This window comes from Homo sapiens, chromosome 2 (assembly GCF_000001405.40).
Source record: "Homo sapiens chromosome 2, GRCh38.p14 Primary Assembly".
NCBI lineage: Eukaryota > Metazoa > Chordata > Mammalia > Primates > Hominidae > Homo > Homo sapiens.
Window position 1 is genome coordinate 42,125,195 of NC_000002.12, and position 17,104 is coordinate 42,142,298.

A 17,104-nucleotide genomic window follows, 5' to 3' on the forward strand; every position below is an offset into this window, starting at 1 on the left:
TCTTGATTTATAAAACTAATGGTGGGGCCTGGCACAGTGACTCACGCCTGTAATCCCAGCACTTTGGGAGGCTGAGGCGGGTAGATTGCTTGAGGTCAGGAGTTTCAGATCAGCCTGGCCAACATGGTGAAACCCTGCCTCTACTAAAAATACAAAAATTAGCCAGGCATGGTGGCAGGTGACTGTAATCTCAGCTACTCGGGAGGCTGAGGCAGAAGAATCACTTCAATCCAGGAGGCGGAGTTTGCAGTGAGCTGATATTGCGCCACTGCACTCCAGTTTGGGTGACAGAGCGAGACTCTGTCTCAAAAATAAATAAATAAATATGAATAAATAAATAAAAATAAAACTAATGATGATACAGAAGGGCCAAGAAACTTCATAAAGCATCACTAACTGTCCATTCTCATACTCCAGAGCAGTCCAAGCAATTCACAATAAATATATCTACATCGTCTTATTCTTTATTCTACTGAAGCCCATTAAAAGAAAATTAGCCAATTTTTTCCTGTATTTTAAGTGACGAGCTTTTGGAATAAGTTTCAAGAAACTCAAGAGCAAAGCCATGAGCTAACCAAAGATCCACTTTCTGAGATAAATCTTGTCTTAGAAAGGAAATGAAGGCATACAATGTGTGTGGCAGGAGGGGCCATGAGGAGGGGGCTGAGGTCAGATATGATCGGAACGCTAGTGTCACAGTTGTCTCCTGTAAACTGGTCTCTGGGAGCTGGGTCAAGGCAGAGGAGTTGAAAGCCAAACACAGACAGCAGCTGTTGAGGATGTAAAGTCTCTGGGCAGAGTGGATAGGGAGCTGGGTGTGGTCACCCAGAAGCCAATTTCCACCCCACCCTACAGACCTAGCGACTGGGGCTAAGAAGAACTTCCCGTGTTGCATTCCAGCCCTTCTGATTGGGCTTAGTGAGACTGCCAAAGACTGGCTGCAAGCTGCCTGATTGCACTGCATACACCTCCCTCAATGGTGTCCCGGCTGGAAAACACTGAGGCTTTTAAGAATACCACGTCCAGATGGCCAGGATGCAGGACTGACCTGCAATTGCCACACTGGGCACCAGGTACAAGTAGATTTCACTGAAGTCCTCGAGGGACTGAGTGAAACTGCTGGGGTATGCGGGTCTTTCCTATGTTGCACAAATCAGTGCTGAGCTGCATAGGTGACAATGATCACTTCCACAATTTCCCAGAACATTTGTCAAGAGCCTGAAAGGGCTGCATCACTGAGCAGGGAATCTTCATTATTCATTTCAACATCACTTTTCTTGGAAACCTTGACTACTCCGCTCTCCAGAAATAATCCATCAAACTTTTCTCTTCGTTGAAGTCATACTGCAAAAACTCCCATAATCAAATTCCCCACATTAGGATCCCTGTTTATTATGTAACAACAGAGTCAAGAGGGAAAAGAGTGCATCAGACATTGACATTTTTTTTCTCTCTCTCTCTCTTTTAAGTTTTTGTCATGAAAATTTTCAAACACACACAAAATGAGAGAAACGTAAAAATGAACCCCCATGTACCCACCATCCAGCTTGGATAATCTCAACATACACCAATCTTGTTTCATCTATTGCCCCTCACCCCCACAACTATTCTTTTTTTTTTTTTTTTTTTTTTTTGCTGGAATTTTAAAAAGCAAATCCCAGACACAGCATCACTTCACTAATACATACTTCAGCATGCATCTCTAACTAATAAGGACTTTCCTTTTTTTTTTTTTTTTTTTGAGATGGAGTTTCATTCTTGTTGCCCAGGCTGGAGTGCAATGGCGCAATCTTGGCTCACTGCAAACTCTGCCGCCGGGGTTAAAGCGATCCTCCTGCCTCTGCCTCCTGAGTAGCTGGGATTACAGGCACCTGCCACCATGCCCGGCTAATTTTCTGTATTTTTAGAAGAGATGGGGTTTCACTATGTTGGCCAGGCTGGTCTCAAACTCCTGACCTCAGGCGATCTGCCCACCTCGGCCTCCCAAAGCGCTGGGATTACAGGCATGAACCACCGAACCCAGCCAGGACTTTCGTTTTTAACATAAGCTCTGTAGACACTAGTATTTATTTATTTGGTATCTATTGGTATCTATTTAGCATTTAGTATTAGTGGGAGCCATTACAGTAAGACTCTTTACACTGTTTATTTCATAAAATCTCAGCTCAGCAAAGAAACACCCTAGAAATTCACAAACTCCCCAGGAGAAAGAAAGAAATGCCCGGGCCCTAACAACCTTGCTATTTGCATTTTACTCATGAGGAAAGGTGCTTAGCCAACTCGAGGTAAGCTGTGGAAAGGCTGCAGTCCAAGAGCCTTCAGAACTTGAAACAAGAGGCATGTCAGAGCCTGACTTTGCTCCATCCCCCCTGAGTAGTCAAGGTATTAAAAGAGCATTACTTCCTCATTTGCAAACCACCTTTTTTTTTCAAAAAAACCACTTTACACCTATCATTTGAAGTTATATTGTCAAGATAGAAACACACTTCTCGGGAAGATAGTACCTTGAAAGTAGAAACCATTCAGCAAAAAAGTTTTTGAAAAATCCAATGTACATTTCCACTAATCAGGCTTGTCTGTGAATGGAGCAGAGGGAAAATGCTGCTTCACACAAAAGCAATCTCAGTATAAACATTTCTGTTTGCTGTGCACTCTAACTTTGTCTTCTCTGTCCTTTATACATGAAAGCTCAGGAGATTTAGGCACAGCAGCTACATTGGGTCGACTTACCGAATAAAGGTGGGGACTACACAAACATGGAATTTGGAGTGAGCCTTTGCCTCAAGGACAGACTGATAAATCCATCCTGAGTCACAAAGATGCCACACAGGCTTTGGGCTGCTACCTTATGGCTGGACATTCTAACCCCAGGCTCCTAGATGCAAAACCCAAGTCAGCCCCCATATATAGTCACAACATGCTGTTGATTTTCCCTTCAAAAACTCTTATGCCTTCTTGCTGTTGCCCTCCTCCAGGTTCTCATCACTTTATGCAAGATTATGCCAGGGACTGGGATGTATTACACCAAGGAGTTGCCAGGAGCTGCAGTGTGGGTGAGGGCTATGCCTAACAAGAGGAACGGATGTTGAGATCTGGGCCAGCACTGCACAGAGCACTCACTAAAACTGAGCTGTTGCATATGCTTTGGTGGATGTTCCCTCTGCCTGGAGCACTCTGTAGATGTCTGTTTGACTTGCCCCTCAGCCTTTTCTGCTTCTTTCAGGTCTCTGCACAAGTATCCCATTCTTAAGGGGGCCATCCCTGGCCACACTATGTCAGACAGCACACCCACTGCTACTCTTGAGCCCTTTATTCTGCCTTATTTGCCTCTATCCTCCTTATCACAACCAGATAAAACAGATTTATTATTTGTTTTGTGTTTTGGTCGCTACCGTATCCCCTGCACCTAGAACAGTGCCAGGCATATGGCAAGGATTCAACACATTTTTGCAGAATAAGTGATCTCCTTAAAAACGAGATCTTGTCCTCTTCTTCTACCACACATGACTGATCTAAGCAGGCGCTAATTATGGAATGCCCCATTTTGGAGGAGGGGCTCCTCAGGAAATCCACAGGGAGATACAAACGGGCTTTCCAGAGCCAGCACTCACCCCAAAAATCTAACTGTTCTAAAAGGAATGTAGATTTCTTAAATCTGCATCATCTGTGACTGCTCCAGAGTTTGTGACTACCAGCTCCTAACCACGCATTCTGTTCCTATGCTTTGTTCCTGACCTTCAGGACCTTTGTGAAGCTTCCCGATGGCCTGATGGTAACAAACTCTCAAGCACATACACTTTAAGAATAATATATCCCTCTCAGAGCTACACCACTGAAAGGTGTTGCTTCAACAACAGAAAGATTTATTACTTTCTTCCCTCACAGAAAAACCGCAGGAATATTTCCTTCTTGACTGCAGCAGTGAGTTCCAAGTTTCATTAAAGAACCGGCCAGATGCTTCCTCCTAGCTTGCGTGGGAAGAAGTTAAGATAAAGAGCATTTGAAACTCTACCTCTGCACACCTGCCCCATACCTTATTCCCTTTTGACAGTTCTTCTTCCTGTTTCCCCAGGGTTGGGGATATAGAGCCATGTGACCTGCCTCCCCAGACAGCTGGGGCCCTGGAACCTCCCTGGCCCCTCACCCTCTGGTATTAATAATAGATGGCTCTTAGTGAGTTGCACATCTGCCATAAAGCAGGCACTACACTTTTCAAATTGTCTCAAATTCTTAACACCCAAACCGGAAAAGAGCTGTAATCTGAGTGTCTGCTGCTTGGACAGCCCTTGTAGTCATAACAGCAGAATCTATCCTTCTGCCTCTGTCACTGAAAAGCACCTTCCTCCAGTATATCTGCACACAGGGAGTAAGTTTCTTATTCCCAAAGCCAGTCCACACAGCAGCCTGTCCCTCTGCTCTTACCTGTCCCTAAACTCCACACTCAGCTGGGACCTCCGCTCACAGCACTGTGGGTCCTGCCCCAGGACTCAGGGCTGCCCTCTTCCCTTGACATGACACTGATGGTGGCCTCAGGGGTGTAGTAGGCAGAATAATGATCCCCAAAAATGTCCACATTCTGGAACCTGTGAATATCTTACCTTACATGGACTTTGCAGGTGTGATTAAGTTAAAGACCTTGAGATGGAGAGATGATCCTGGCTTATCCAGGTAAGCATGATGTAATCACAAGGATCCTCATGAGGGACAGAAGGAGGCAGGAGAGTCAGAATCAGAGAAAATGAGAGGATGGAAGCATAGGTCAGAGTGATGTGAGGCGGGAACCGAGGAACGCAGGCAACCTTCAGAAAAGGGCTAGAAAACTCCTTCTCCCCCAAAGCCTCGGGAATGAACGCAGCCCTGCCAACACCTGGATTTTAGGTCTTCTACCTCCAGATCAGGACAATAATGAATGTGTGGTTTTAAGTCACTAAATTTGTGGTAATTTGTTACACCAGCAGTAGGGAACTGATACAAGAGGTGACACAGGAATGACACATTGTTCTAGGTGCTAGAATAGAGCAGTAAACACAAATGACAAAAATTCAAGCCCTCACAGTGCTTACATTTTAATGGAACCCTCTTTTATGATATTCCCACTCAAAAGGGTTCACAATGTCTACCCCTCTTCCCCAAATAGGCTAATCTGTAATATATGGATAATCCACAGCAATACATTTTTCACAGTCTGAGTTACTCAGATAGGAATCATGCCACATAGTTAGATGATTCCCAAAATAATCCATAGTAGGCTTCATTTCTCCTTTTCTTATTCTTTTCAGGGTTCTTCCGCCAGCTTGAGGTCAACATATTCCTCCTCACTCTTCCTATGGTTTTCTGATCTCCTATGAGTAACTCTTAGATCTCTCTCTCTCTCTCGTTCTGTCTCTCTCTCTCACACACACACATGCACACACCCCAAAGACAATCATTCTCAACCTAATTCTGTATTAGTGAGGAGGTCTTTCTAAAGGCAACATATTCCATCCAACTAAATTAAAATATGACTTTGCTTTTGTTATTCAGAGTGGCTCCAGTCCCCTTTTTTTGGCCCCCCACCACCACTTATAGACTATGCCCTGGGCCTACCTGGCACTGGAAATGCTGCCCATCACTGTGCCTTTTTTTTTTTTTTTTTTTGAGACGGAGTTTCACTCTTGTTGCCCAGGCTGGAGTGCAATGGCACCATCTCGGCTCACCGCAACCTCTGCCTCCCAGGTTCTCCTGCCTCAGCCTCCCGAGTAGCTGGGATTATAGGCATGCACCACCACGCCTGGCTAATTTTGTATTTTTAATAGAGACGGGGTTTCTCCATGTTGGTCAGGCTGGTCTCAAACTCCCGACCTCAGGTGATCTGCCCGCCTCGCCTTCCAAAGTGCTGGGATTACAGGCGTGAGCCACTGGGCCCAGACCATCACTGTGCCTTTCTAAACAGAAGGCCTCCACTTGTGAGCATCACCCTGGCTATCCAGAGAACTGATAGAAGCTGAGTGGATGTGCTTTTTCGATACACTGAGCCACAGCAAATTCCTACCCAGGGCTTCCTCTCTACTAACAGTCCCTGCTAGAAGTGAATGAGAAACTCCCTTTTCCCCATCTATAGCAAGCCCTCTAGTGTCATGGGATTTTTCTTCTTTTAGTTACAGACAGGAATCCCCAAGTATAGGTACCTCCTTTTAATCATTTATAAACGATCCTCTCCTCCTCCTCTCTCATGGTCTTTTCCTAACAAAAAATGAGGACAATTCCAATTAAGCACAGGCACTTCAAGTGAATACTTTCGATTAAAACAAACTTTAACTCGGGCACAGAGGAATTTCAGAAGGAAGAATTGTTGCTGTAGACTCTGATTAAATTTGCCAAAAATAATAACGCTTGTGGTAGAGTAATTATTGTGATATAAAGAATAATACATTTCTTATATGCTGCCTAAGTACTAGGGACATGTGCTGAATATTTTACTTGTATTAGCTCATTTAATCCTCACCAATGAATTTAGGACTATTATTATTCACATTTTACATATGAAAAGATTGAGCTGTGAAGAGCTAAGAAAATTACTCCAAGATGACACTACTATTTAGTGGCAGAGCCAGGACTCAAACACAGGTTTGCCTGACAGCCAGACCCTAACCACCCTGCCATTCTGCTGTAGAATGCTTTTCCAGTTAGAAGCCTATCCAGGGTGGCACCTTCCATCTCTGTTTCCATTTTAAAGTGAAAATGCTGAAGGAGGAATGGAGGAAAAAAAGACAGGTTCATGACCAAAATTTGACCACTGTGAGAATTATGGATAGATAAGTAGAAACCTGAAAAGCCATGAACGACAACAACAAACTTTAAAAATCACATCGAATTGAGCAATGGTAAATGCAGAAATTTGGGATTTATGGTCGAAACTGGTGTAGGGACTGGTGGCAACATTTATTTGCAAAGCGTCAAGGACTGCCACCTCCATTTAGATGCCTTTACTACATGAAAGTCTAAAATACTCTAAAGAGAATCCCGGGAGAGGCTACAAGCCAAGAATCTTTGGCTTACAAAATAGTGGGGGCTGCTTCTTCCCAAGTTACCACGCACAGAAGCAAAACTTGGCAGTATCTGAAACAGAGGATTTTGATCCTGTTCCTACCATTGCTTCCAGAGAAGGAAGCAAAACAAACCACTGAGTTCTATCTACTCCGGCTCCTGAGCACCAAGACCCTGCTTGGAAGAGAATCTCACCTTGCCGTCTGCTCAGGAAAATCAGCCCCTCTAGAGGAAGCACCAAAAGACCTAAGTGCAGGGCTGGAGTTTCCTACCCCTTCTTATTTCCTGTGGAGTTCTGTTTCTTGAGGAAACTTTCCCCAAATAATCTAGCTGCCACTCTGACACCATTTTCATTGAGTAATTCATGGTGATGTCACGCCAACTAGGCACTAGGGGAAGCCCTGCTTTTATGGGTTGGCTCTTCATTTAGGAATTTTTATTTTTCTGACTTCCATCCCTTTTTCACTGGACTCCACTTTTTTTGAGGCAAGATGCCTGAGTGGTGAAGTGTTGCTTGCTTTTGAGAAAAGGAATTCCTTCTGGTTGAGAGGCAAATGGTTGAGTGAAGGCAAGATGCATGTCCTGTAATAGTACATCTTAATTGGAGAGCTGGCAAGAGAGGAAGGAGGTGTGGGCCTGCTGCGGGCTCTGTTATTCCTAATAGGGTTCATTGAGCTAAGCACGGAAGATGGGCTGGGGGCACTAGGACTAACAGCCACCCCCTGAAGACACAATCACGCATGCCTGGGGAGCTGACCACCTCCTTTTGACACCTGGACAGCCACATCTAACCCACATCCCCACGTTCCCGCCTTGCCTCTCAGCTGCTCTGTGCAGCAAGACAGCAAAGGCAAGTTTGGCAAAGCTCGCCTGTAAAAGCCTAATCCAAACAGCATGTCCGCTGAGCTCAGCGGGGTGACTCATGTGCAGTGATGTGTGAGGCCAGCGAGCAGAGATTAGGATCTGGCCCGCCCGCCAGCCTACCTTGCACTTCCTTTGATCAACTCTGATGGTTTTTAATTCTGCAGAAGCAGCTTCCTGCCAGCAGCAAGCAGCTCTCAGTGGCGGCTGGAGCTGCGTCTGTGCTGACCTACTTGTCAGTGGGGAGGGAGGCATGTGCTAATGGCACTGGGACATCCCGGGCTCACAGGCTACACGGAGCGAGAGGGCAGCCTCTTTTGCTGAGGTGCCCATGGTGACATCAGAAGCTTGCTCCTCAGCCAACACCAGCAAGGCCATGCGTGTGAGCAGCCTGGGCTCTGAACGTGCTGCTGGTATTGGTTAGAATCACGGGGTAATCAAGAAAAATGGGACTCTCCCTGGGGGACTCTTTTTGGGAAACTGGGGCATCTCTAAGGACGCCATCTGGCACAAAATGAAGCACTCTCTGGGTTCTTCAGAAGTACTCTTTTACATCTGTTTTGCTTGAAATGGAACACATTCGGAGTATATTACTTTTTTGAACCGCTCCTTCCCTGCTTGGTTGGAATGCGTTTGCCTCTTGATTCTTCCAAATCCCCTCGATTACCACTGCCAAGCAGAGCACCTGAAATCTGGTCTCCTGCTTTCTCATTCCCTCTCTTCCACGTCTCTCCTTTCTCTCTCTTTTCTCAGGAAGGATAGCAGTGATTCTAATCTTGGCTGCATGTTAGCACCACCCTGGGAAGGGGCTGTGGTTAAAAAAAATTCCCCAGTCCCAGGCTCTGCCCCAGATTAATTCAGAGTCCTGAGGGTAGGACCAGGCATTAGTACTGCTTAAAGCTCCTATTGTGGCCAGGCGCGGTGGCTCATGCCTGTAATCCTAGCACTTTGGGAGGCTGTGGCGGGCGGATTGCCTGATCTCAGGAGTTCGTGACCAGCCTGGGCAACACCGTGAAACCCCATCTCTACTAAAATGCAAAAAAATAGCCGGGCATGGCAGCACGCGCCTGTAGTCCCAGCTACTTGGGAGGCTGAGCCAGGAGAATCGCTTGAACCTGGGAGGCAGAAGTTGCAGTGAGCTGAGATTGCGCCATTGCACTCCAGCCTAGGCGACAGAGCGAGACTCCGTCTCCGAAAAAAAAAAAGAAAAGAAACGAAAAGAAAAAAGAAAAGCTCCCATTGTGCAGCCAAAGTTAGAAGTCATTGGGATCTTGGGGTTGTAGGCCATCAGCCAAAAGCCCTAACAATGGTTCTTATCTGTCCTCCCACCACCATTCAGAAGGGTCTAAGAAGTGATGTGTACTTTAACCACTTAAGGCAAAATATTATCTGGATGGGATAACTAGCCTACATATTAAGAAGAATTTCTTATTCCGATTAAAAGTATTTACCGGCTAGGTGCAGTGGCTCATGCCTATAATCCCAGAACTTTGGGAGGCCAAGGCAGGAGGACCGCTTGAGCCTAGGAATTCAAGACCAGCCTGGGCAACATAGTGAGACCCTTGTCTCTACAAAAAATAAAATAAAAAATTAGCCCAAGCATGGTGACGTGTGCCTGTGGTCTCAGCTACTCGGGAGGCTGAGGTGGGAGGATAGGATCGCTTGACTCTGGGAGGCGGAGGTTGCAGTGAGCCGAGATCACACCACTGCACTCCAGCCTGGGCCACAGAGGGACACTCCGTCTCAAAAAAAAAAAAAAAAAAAGTATTTACCATCCAACTGAGACTTAGCACAGACAGTGAATATGCGTGACTGAAATACAAAATAGATGAGTCTTAACAGACAAGTAGGGAATGATTCAGTACACAGAGCATGATCAACTGAATGGAAATTTCTGGAAAGCAGGTTTGTCTGTGGTGATGAAGGGTTGTGGGTAGGGCAATGAATAAAATAAAGACCCCTAGTTATATTTTAATTTCAGCTATAGAAAACTAATGCAATATTTGGGATATATTTATAATAAAAAATTCATTGTCTGAAATTCAAATTTGACGGGATGATCTGTGTTTTGTTTTGTTTTGTTTTGTGTTTTTGCTAAATCTGGAAATCCTAGTTTGGGTGGCAGGCTAGAGAGGAGAACCTCAGGCATTTGAGGGAGTGGTGGGTCTCATCTGTGTGGAACTGTCCCCCAGGGGCTGCAGGGAAAGCATACAGGCATTTGGGGTTGTCCCAAAAATTAGGGGTTGCTAGTGGCATTTGGCAGATGTGGATCAAGATGCTAAATATAGTACATTAGGTATAGTTCCAATGAAGTTTTGTTCTAATGAAGAATTGTCCCATCGTAAACACCAATAGCACCTAGACCAGTGCCACCTGCTGTACCATTTTACTGAGGACTGACTCTATCAGCCTCACATAGTTGATTCCCAGAAAGCAGTGCACCAGCTAGTCAGAGAGCTTCAGAACCTGCCCTCAAGGGAAGAGACAACCAACGTCCCAGGTATTTGCCCCAAAGCCTCCTATGGTCCAAACCAAGGCATATAGCTGGTCCACTGAAATGAACCCCTGAAACGAACTGCAAGCCTTCGAAGCTTACTCTGAGTACCACCTCCTTCAGGAAGCTTTCTTTTGACTGCTCCAATTTTCACTAATCTGTCTGCTCTGAGTACCACCTCCTTCAGGAAGCTTTCTTTTGACTGCTCCAATTTTCACTAATCTGTCTGCTCAATCCCTAAAACTCTTTTTCTTCTAATTTAACATTTGAACATATTCTGCTAATAGTTCCCTGTGTGCTAGCCTGTGAGTTTTTCTCTCCAACTAGCCTGGGTACTCAGGAAAGTGAGATCAACTTCTGGGTGGCCTTGGGTGTAGCTGACCTGTGCAAATAGGGGAGACAGTTGACATACAGATGAAAGGGGAGATGGGAAGCCATACAGAGGAAGGAGAAGATCAGGAACCAGAGATAAGATAATTCTGTAAATGGATACTAAATTGAAGTCTGGGCTTCCTGACAGCTCAATCAAAAAGTGAAACACAATTGGTTACATCACTCTTACTGTCTGAAAAAAGGAAGCAATATCAGCTCATGAGGAAATGTAATCTTTTCCCTCATGCTAAATTGTAAGTGAAATTTATTACATAGATCCTAAAAGACAGGATTCTGAGAAACAGAATGAGCAATGACTCCAATTGAGTTTTCAGAATATACAAAAAGGGTTTGTTTGTTTGTTTGTTTGTTTGTTTTTCTGTGATTACCCTCTAAGAAAGTCAGAACTGGTGGGAAGCAGTGGCTCACACCTGTAATCCCAGCACTTTGGGAGGCCGAGGCAGGCAAATGGCTTGAGCTCAGGAGTCCGAGACCGGCCTGGGCAACATGGTGAAACCCTGTCTCTACTAAAAATACAAAAAAAAAATTAGTCAGGCATCATTGTCATCCCAGCTACTCGGGAGGCTTAGGTAGGAGGATCACTTGTGCCCAGGAGGCAGAGGTGGAGGTTACAGTGAGCCGAGATGGCACCACTGCACTCCAGCCTAGGTGACAGAGCGAGAGACCCTGTCCCAAAAAAAAAAAAAAAAAAGAAGTCAGAACTCCAGTATTGAACCTTGGCTCAGTGCAAAAATTTTTATAAGGAATTAAGCTAATGTATTCTAAATATATTGGTTTCTAGTGATTTTTATTAATAAACGTGTACTCAGGAGTTTTCAACAGCCCAGAGCTGTTATGAAGCCTTCATATGTGGCTCCCTCAGGAGCTTCTGACAGCCTTAAGGAAAGAGTGGGGGTGGAAGCTAAGTTTGTGGTTAGGGGTAGAGGAAAGAATGGGAACAGACACACTCTACTTGTCACCCCACCCTCCTCTCCCCAAGCTAGAATCAGACAGTGGGAATTATGCACCCTGCCAAGAAGGCGCTTCCCAGCCACATCCCCAGTAAAGGAATAGAGGAAAACAGGATGTCACCAAGGGCCCACCCCAGGATAGGATCGTGAGAATGACTTGAGAGACTCCCTGATGGTATGGATCACCTTCTAATGAGGGCTACACTTTGGGTTAGTTTGCCTCTCCTCCAAAGGCAGGGAACAAATAATTAGATGACTCAAAACAGAGTTTCCATTTTTTTGTTTGTTTTATTTGAGGCCCAGGGGCTGTGGGTTGTTGATTAACACACATGTCCCTCTCCGTGCCCACCCATCCCCATCTCAGGTAACACCCCTAGGGCTTGGTGGCTAGCTGTGGCAAAATCATGGTGAGTCTGTAGATTATCAAAAATCTAAGCAGCAGGCCTGGGATGAGAGGTCAAGGCCAAAGGTACAAACCTCTGGCACGGGCTTTTGTCTTTTGTGTTTTCAATGGCAGTAGCTTCAATTTCCTTCCTGCTGGTGTGAAAAGGATGACTGGAGCAGGCAGGGCTGATCCAGGTGCAGGTGGGGAGGATCAAACAGCCTGCCCACTGCTCCCTCTCCTCTCCTCACTGGGGCTGAGGGAGTCTCCTGTGGGAGAGAGGGGGCCATCTTTCCTTCGTCCCCGAGGAGAGGTCAACCTGATTGTGCTGCCCTTGCTTGCCTAGGGCAGTTGCTTCTCGGGTTGGTAGATACTGGGCTTAGTGCTGGAATGTGGATACTGGACTCATTTCTGATTTTCTGGCTCTTCAGCAATGTTGACCCAGGCCCTCCCTATCACATGGGATTAGAGGAAGGAGGTTTAGGTAGAGTCATTTGTGGTTACTCAGCATCTGAACTCCCTTCACATGTTTAGGACATTTACCTTTTTATGAATCTTGGTGTCCTAAGAAAGAGCCCTAAGGACCAGATACTCTCTTATTTTATTTCATCTTATTTTATTTGAGACGGAGTCTTGCTTGGTCACCTAGGCTGGAGTGCAGTGGGGTGATCTCAGCTCACTGCAACCTCCACCTCCCGGGTTCAAGCAATTCTCCTGTCTCAGCCTCCTGAGTAGCTAGGGCTACAGGTGCCCACCATCACATCCGACTGATTTTTATATTTTTAGTAGAGATAAGGTTTCACCATATTGGTCAGGCTGGTCTCGAACTCCTGACCGTAGGTGATCACCCACCTTGGCTTCCCAAAGTGCTGGGATTACAGGCATGAGCCACCACGCCTGGCCCAGATACTCTCCTTTCTAGTCTCTTTTAAAGGTAGGATATGGACACATAACCGAGACTTGGCCAACAGGTGCAGCTGCTCCAGAAGGAATCAGAAATTACTGGCACCAACAAATACGGATCCCTTTTCACAGGAAACTGCAGGGCAGCAAAAATATACAAGCTCCCAGTGCAGTGGTGCTTATGGTGGTATCCAGTGTCTGCAGCTGAAGAGGGTGACAATGTAAGTTGTGGTCCAGCACTGGGCAGTGGCAACAGTGGTATCATCATCTTAGGCCCTGTGCTGTGATTGTACCTATAGCCTTGGCTGTGATCCTGAATTTCTGGTTCCTGTGTTTTTTGAGCCTATTTCTCTAGCCTTCCCAGTTTTTCTATGAGTTGCCCAATAGCATTTCAACAAATTATTTTTCTGTTTAAATCAATCAGAGTTGGTTTCTGTTGCTTGCAACTGAGAACCCTGATTCTGTCTAACTACAACTGGCTTCGGTCAGTCATTTGCAGATGCTTTTTCTCTTTCGCTGCCTGCATTCTTCATGCCTCTGCTCTCCTGGCAATTCCTCAAGTAATCCAGAAAAGGAGGAAAGAGCATGCAGAGAATTTGACCACAGCTGGGAAGTGAGCCAAGAGAACACTGAAGAACTTGACTATTAGATCTCCTACTTTGTTAGGTGGGGTGAATGCAATATTAATGAGACAGAAGGCTGTGAGCTGTCTGTCATTTTATTTTTTTATCTCTAACTTGGTTATACAATGATACAATTATTACCTATGGTACTTAAAGGCCTATGAAGGCATGGACCAAGTCTCCCTTGTTTGCCCCAGTATCTAGGTCATACTAGGTACTCAGTAAGTAGTAGTAGGGGATGATGATGGAAGTTTGAGAAACAGAATTCAGGGAAGAGAAGCTTAATATATCCTTAATGTCTTTAAAAAAAGAATTGTCTCATCTATGTGGGAGCTAAAGATTAAGGTCTGCAAGTCGAGCCAACACTGCGAATATGTGGTGGTGTTGATTGAGGAGCAAGAGCCTGGAGCTTTAGCCATCAGACATTCAAAAGCAGAAATGACATTCTCCCAGACAGACAGAGCCTAACTTGGGTCTAGCCCAGACAGGATGCCGGTCCATTTCTTCTTGGAAGGGGGCCCCAAGAATGCCTGCAAGCTGAATTGAGATGGATCTCCAAAAAGCATTTTGAATCAGTTTCAAATGCATTGGCAGTCTGGGGGAGTCAATGTGAGTCTAGATAACCAAGGGCAGGGTTTCAGCTCTCTTAAGCAGAAAATAACTTCAATGCATCTCTTTTTTTTTCTTTTTTTCTTTTTCTTTTTTTTTTTTTTTTGTTTTTCAGACAGAGTCTCACTCTGTCTCCCAGGCTGGAGTGCAGTGGTGCAATCTCAGCTCACTGCAATCTCCACCTCCCGGGTTCAAGCCATTCTCCTGCCTCAGCCTCCCAAGTAGGTGGGACTGTAGGCACCCACCACCACACCTGGCTAATTGCATCTCTTGTAGTAAGCTTAGTTTTGAGTAACACTCTCACCTGTCTCATCTGGATTTGGGTCCTTGAGGATGCATAGTTCCAAACTGACTCAGGTGCTAATTCTTGTTCATGGGATTAACTAATGAACCCTTACCTCAGGCAGGCCTCTTAATTACGTTGTTTAAGTTCTCATTTCCCAATTTTAAAATCCCTGGTTTCAAAATATAGGGTTTGAATTACTGTGCTCACCAATTTCTTATCTAAAATGTGACAATTCCTATTACTTCCCTTAAGGACAAGAGTATAGGCATGAGCCACCGCACCCGGCCTAGCAGTGGTAAATTTAAAAAAGGGAAAATAGGTCGAGTGCAGTGGCTCATGCCTGTAATCCTACCATTTTGGGAAGCCAACGTGGGCAGATCACTTGAGCCCAGGAGGTCGAGGCTGCCATGAGCCGAGATCACACCACTGCACTCCAGCCTAGGTGACAAAGTGAGATCCTGTCTCAAAAAAAAAAAAAAGATGGGAGGATGCTGACATCCTGTGACTTGTAAATACAATCTGACCTGGCACAATGGCTCACACCTCTAATCCCAGCACTTTGGGAGGCCGAGGCAGGCAGATCACATGAGGTCAGGAGTTCAAGACCAGCCTGCCAACATGGTGGAACCACGTCTCTACTAAAACAGGCATGCTGGTGTGTTTCTGTAGTCCCAGCTACTTGGGAGGCTGAGACATGAGAATCACTTGAACCCAAGAGGCAGAGGTTGCAGTGAGCCGAGACTGTGCCACTGCACTGCAGCCTGGGCAACAGAGCGAGACTCCATCTCAAAAAATAATAATAATAATTAAATTAAATAAACAAATAAATACAATCTATAACCAGTTGCAGAAACTGTAAACTGCTTTTTATGCTCAGCTTTCTTTGTTGCTGGAGCTGGATTGCCAGGGAACCTACTTCTAGCCCAGGCTTATCTTTAGATTCATATTGAACAGGAGAAGATGGTAAAGGGTAGCATGCCTCATACTGCCTGAGGCTGTTGGAGCAGAGAGCTATGAGATAGAACACACAGGCATATATTTTCTTTTAATTTTTTATGTACTTATTTATTTATTTTGAGATGGAGTCTCACTGTGTCACCAGGCTGGAGTGCAGTGGTGGGATCTCAGCTCACTGCAACCTCCACCTCCCCGGTTCAAGCAATTCTCCTGCCTCAGCCTCCCAAGTAATTGGGACTACAGGAGCACGCCACCACGCCCAGCTAATTTTTGTATTTTTAGTAGAGACGGTGTTTTACCATGTTGGCCAGGATGGTCTCAATCTCTTGACCTTGTGATCTGCTCGCCTTGGCCTCCCAAAGTGCTGGGATTACAGGCATGAGCCACCACGCCCAGCCACACAGGCATATATTTTAACTGTGCTGTCCAACTGGGTTTTAACATGTAGAATCTATGGCAAGTTGCTTTTGCTCAGTAAGGGTGCTGTGACTCTTTTTGTCCTGGGATTCAAGTGATAAGCAGATTTGAAGGTCATAAGTGACAGCAGACAGGATGGTCATCTTATTTCCTCTGCTTTCTCCCTGGAGAGGGGCCAGAGGACTCCAAAGAAAAGAGAGATGGGAATGGAAACAAACGAATCCCAGCAGGGGAGCAGGGAGGAGAGACGAAACGGCAGCCGACTTGAGAGCTCAGCTGCCAGCCAAAATCTGATGCTCTGCATTGCTCTGCATAAAGGAGCCCAGGCTTCCCAAATCCAGGCGCCCCAACATGATTGCAAAAGCCACACCCATCAGCCCACAGAAAGCCAACACTGCTGCAGAACCAGTGAGACACCTTGGGAGGCTGCCCGAGTTTCTGGAGATATCTGTGTAAAAGCTGCTTTCCTCCCTGGTGGATGCTTGAACCCCAGCAAGTGGTGGCGGACGGGACCCAGAGCTGCCATACCAAGATGGAAAAAAAAATTTTTAAGGAAAAGTTAATTTCAAGAATTATGTTCTCAGTTTTGTTGTAGGGCTAGTTGCCAATTCCTTTTCCCACTGGCAGCAGGCAGGGCTGACTGAGCCAGCACACAGAGGCTTCTCAATGAGCTTTGATGTCAACAAAGGTAGGCAGGGCAGGCCCCGGTGGAAAATTGTGAAGTCAGCAGAGTTATCTCCGGCACTCCTCCCTTCCCCTTGCTTCCCCTTTCTCCGCCCATTTCCCCCTCTCTCGGCTTCCAGCTTCTCATTTCCCAGGGGACCCTGTAATGTACGAAAACCCGATGTCATAAGATACGAGGGGCCGGCTTGTGGCTCCAGCTATCAAAGTCTGCTTTTTCTTCCCAAGTCTAAAACAAACAAAGGCATGCATTCCATACATTTCCTAAGAAAAGAGAGGGCACACAGAAACGTTGTCCTTCGTGTTCTCTCAGTTAAACCCCAAGAGTTTGGAGCCTCAAGTTTAAAGCTGTCCTCTTGCCTCCTGGGGTTTTAAGAAGATTCAAAAGTGCCTCAAACCAATACAGCTGCTTGGTTTATGGCTCAAATTTAAACCACAAATTATAAAATGATAAATTGCTGCTCAAGTCTCTTCCAGGAAAGACTATATTTTCAGATTAAGTTACAACCTCATGGACGTATG

At 45.6% G+C, this 17,104-nt stretch overlaps 5 annotated features.

Moving 5' to 3' along the window:
* Positions 2,457-2,666: an enhancer, noted in NCBI's record as "active region_15643". NCBI's record gives its function as "activates an Ori minimal core promoter by ATAC-STARR-seq in GM12878 lymphoblastoid cells {active_cell/tissue: GM12878}" and the evidence as "EXISTENCE:reporter gene assay evidence [ECO:0000049][PMID:35858748]".
* Positions 7,513-8,486: an enhancer, noted in NCBI's record as "NANOG-H3K27ac-H3K4me1 hESC enhancer chr2:42359847-42360820 (GRCh37/hg19 assembly coordinates)". NCBI's record gives its function as "activates a minimal SCP1, AML or CMV promoter by ChIP-STARR-seq in naive H9 embryonic stem cells {active_cell/tissue: H9 hESC(naive)}" and the evidence as "EXISTENCE:reporter gene assay evidence [ECO:0000049][PMID:30033119]".
* Positions 8,487-9,458: an enhancer, noted in NCBI's record as "H3K27ac-H3K4me1 hESC enhancer chr2:42360821-42361792 (GRCh37/hg19 assembly coordinates)". NCBI's record gives its function as "activates a minimal SCP1, AML or CMV promoter by ChIP-STARR-seq in primed H9 embryonic stem cells {active_cell/tissue: H9 hESC(primed)}" and the evidence as "EXISTENCE:reporter gene assay evidence [ECO:0000049][PMID:30033119]".
* Positions 15,646-16,443: an enhancer, noted in NCBI's record as "H3K27ac-H3K4me1 hESC enhancer chr2:42367980-42368777 (GRCh37/hg19 assembly coordinates)". NCBI's record gives its function as "activates a minimal SCP1, AML or CMV promoter by ChIP-STARR-seq in naive H9 embryonic stem cells {active_cell/tissue: H9 hESC(naive)}" and the evidence as "EXISTENCE:reporter gene assay evidence [ECO:0000049][PMID:30033119]".
* Positions 16,015-16,309: a silencer, noted in NCBI's record as "tiled region #8510; K562 Repressive non-DNase unmatched - State 6:EnhF". NCBI's record gives its function as "represses a minimal TATA promoter and a strong SV40 promoter by Sharpr-MPRA in K562 cells {active_cell/tissue: K562}" and the evidence as "EXISTENCE:reporter gene assay evidence [ECO:0000049][PMID:27701403]".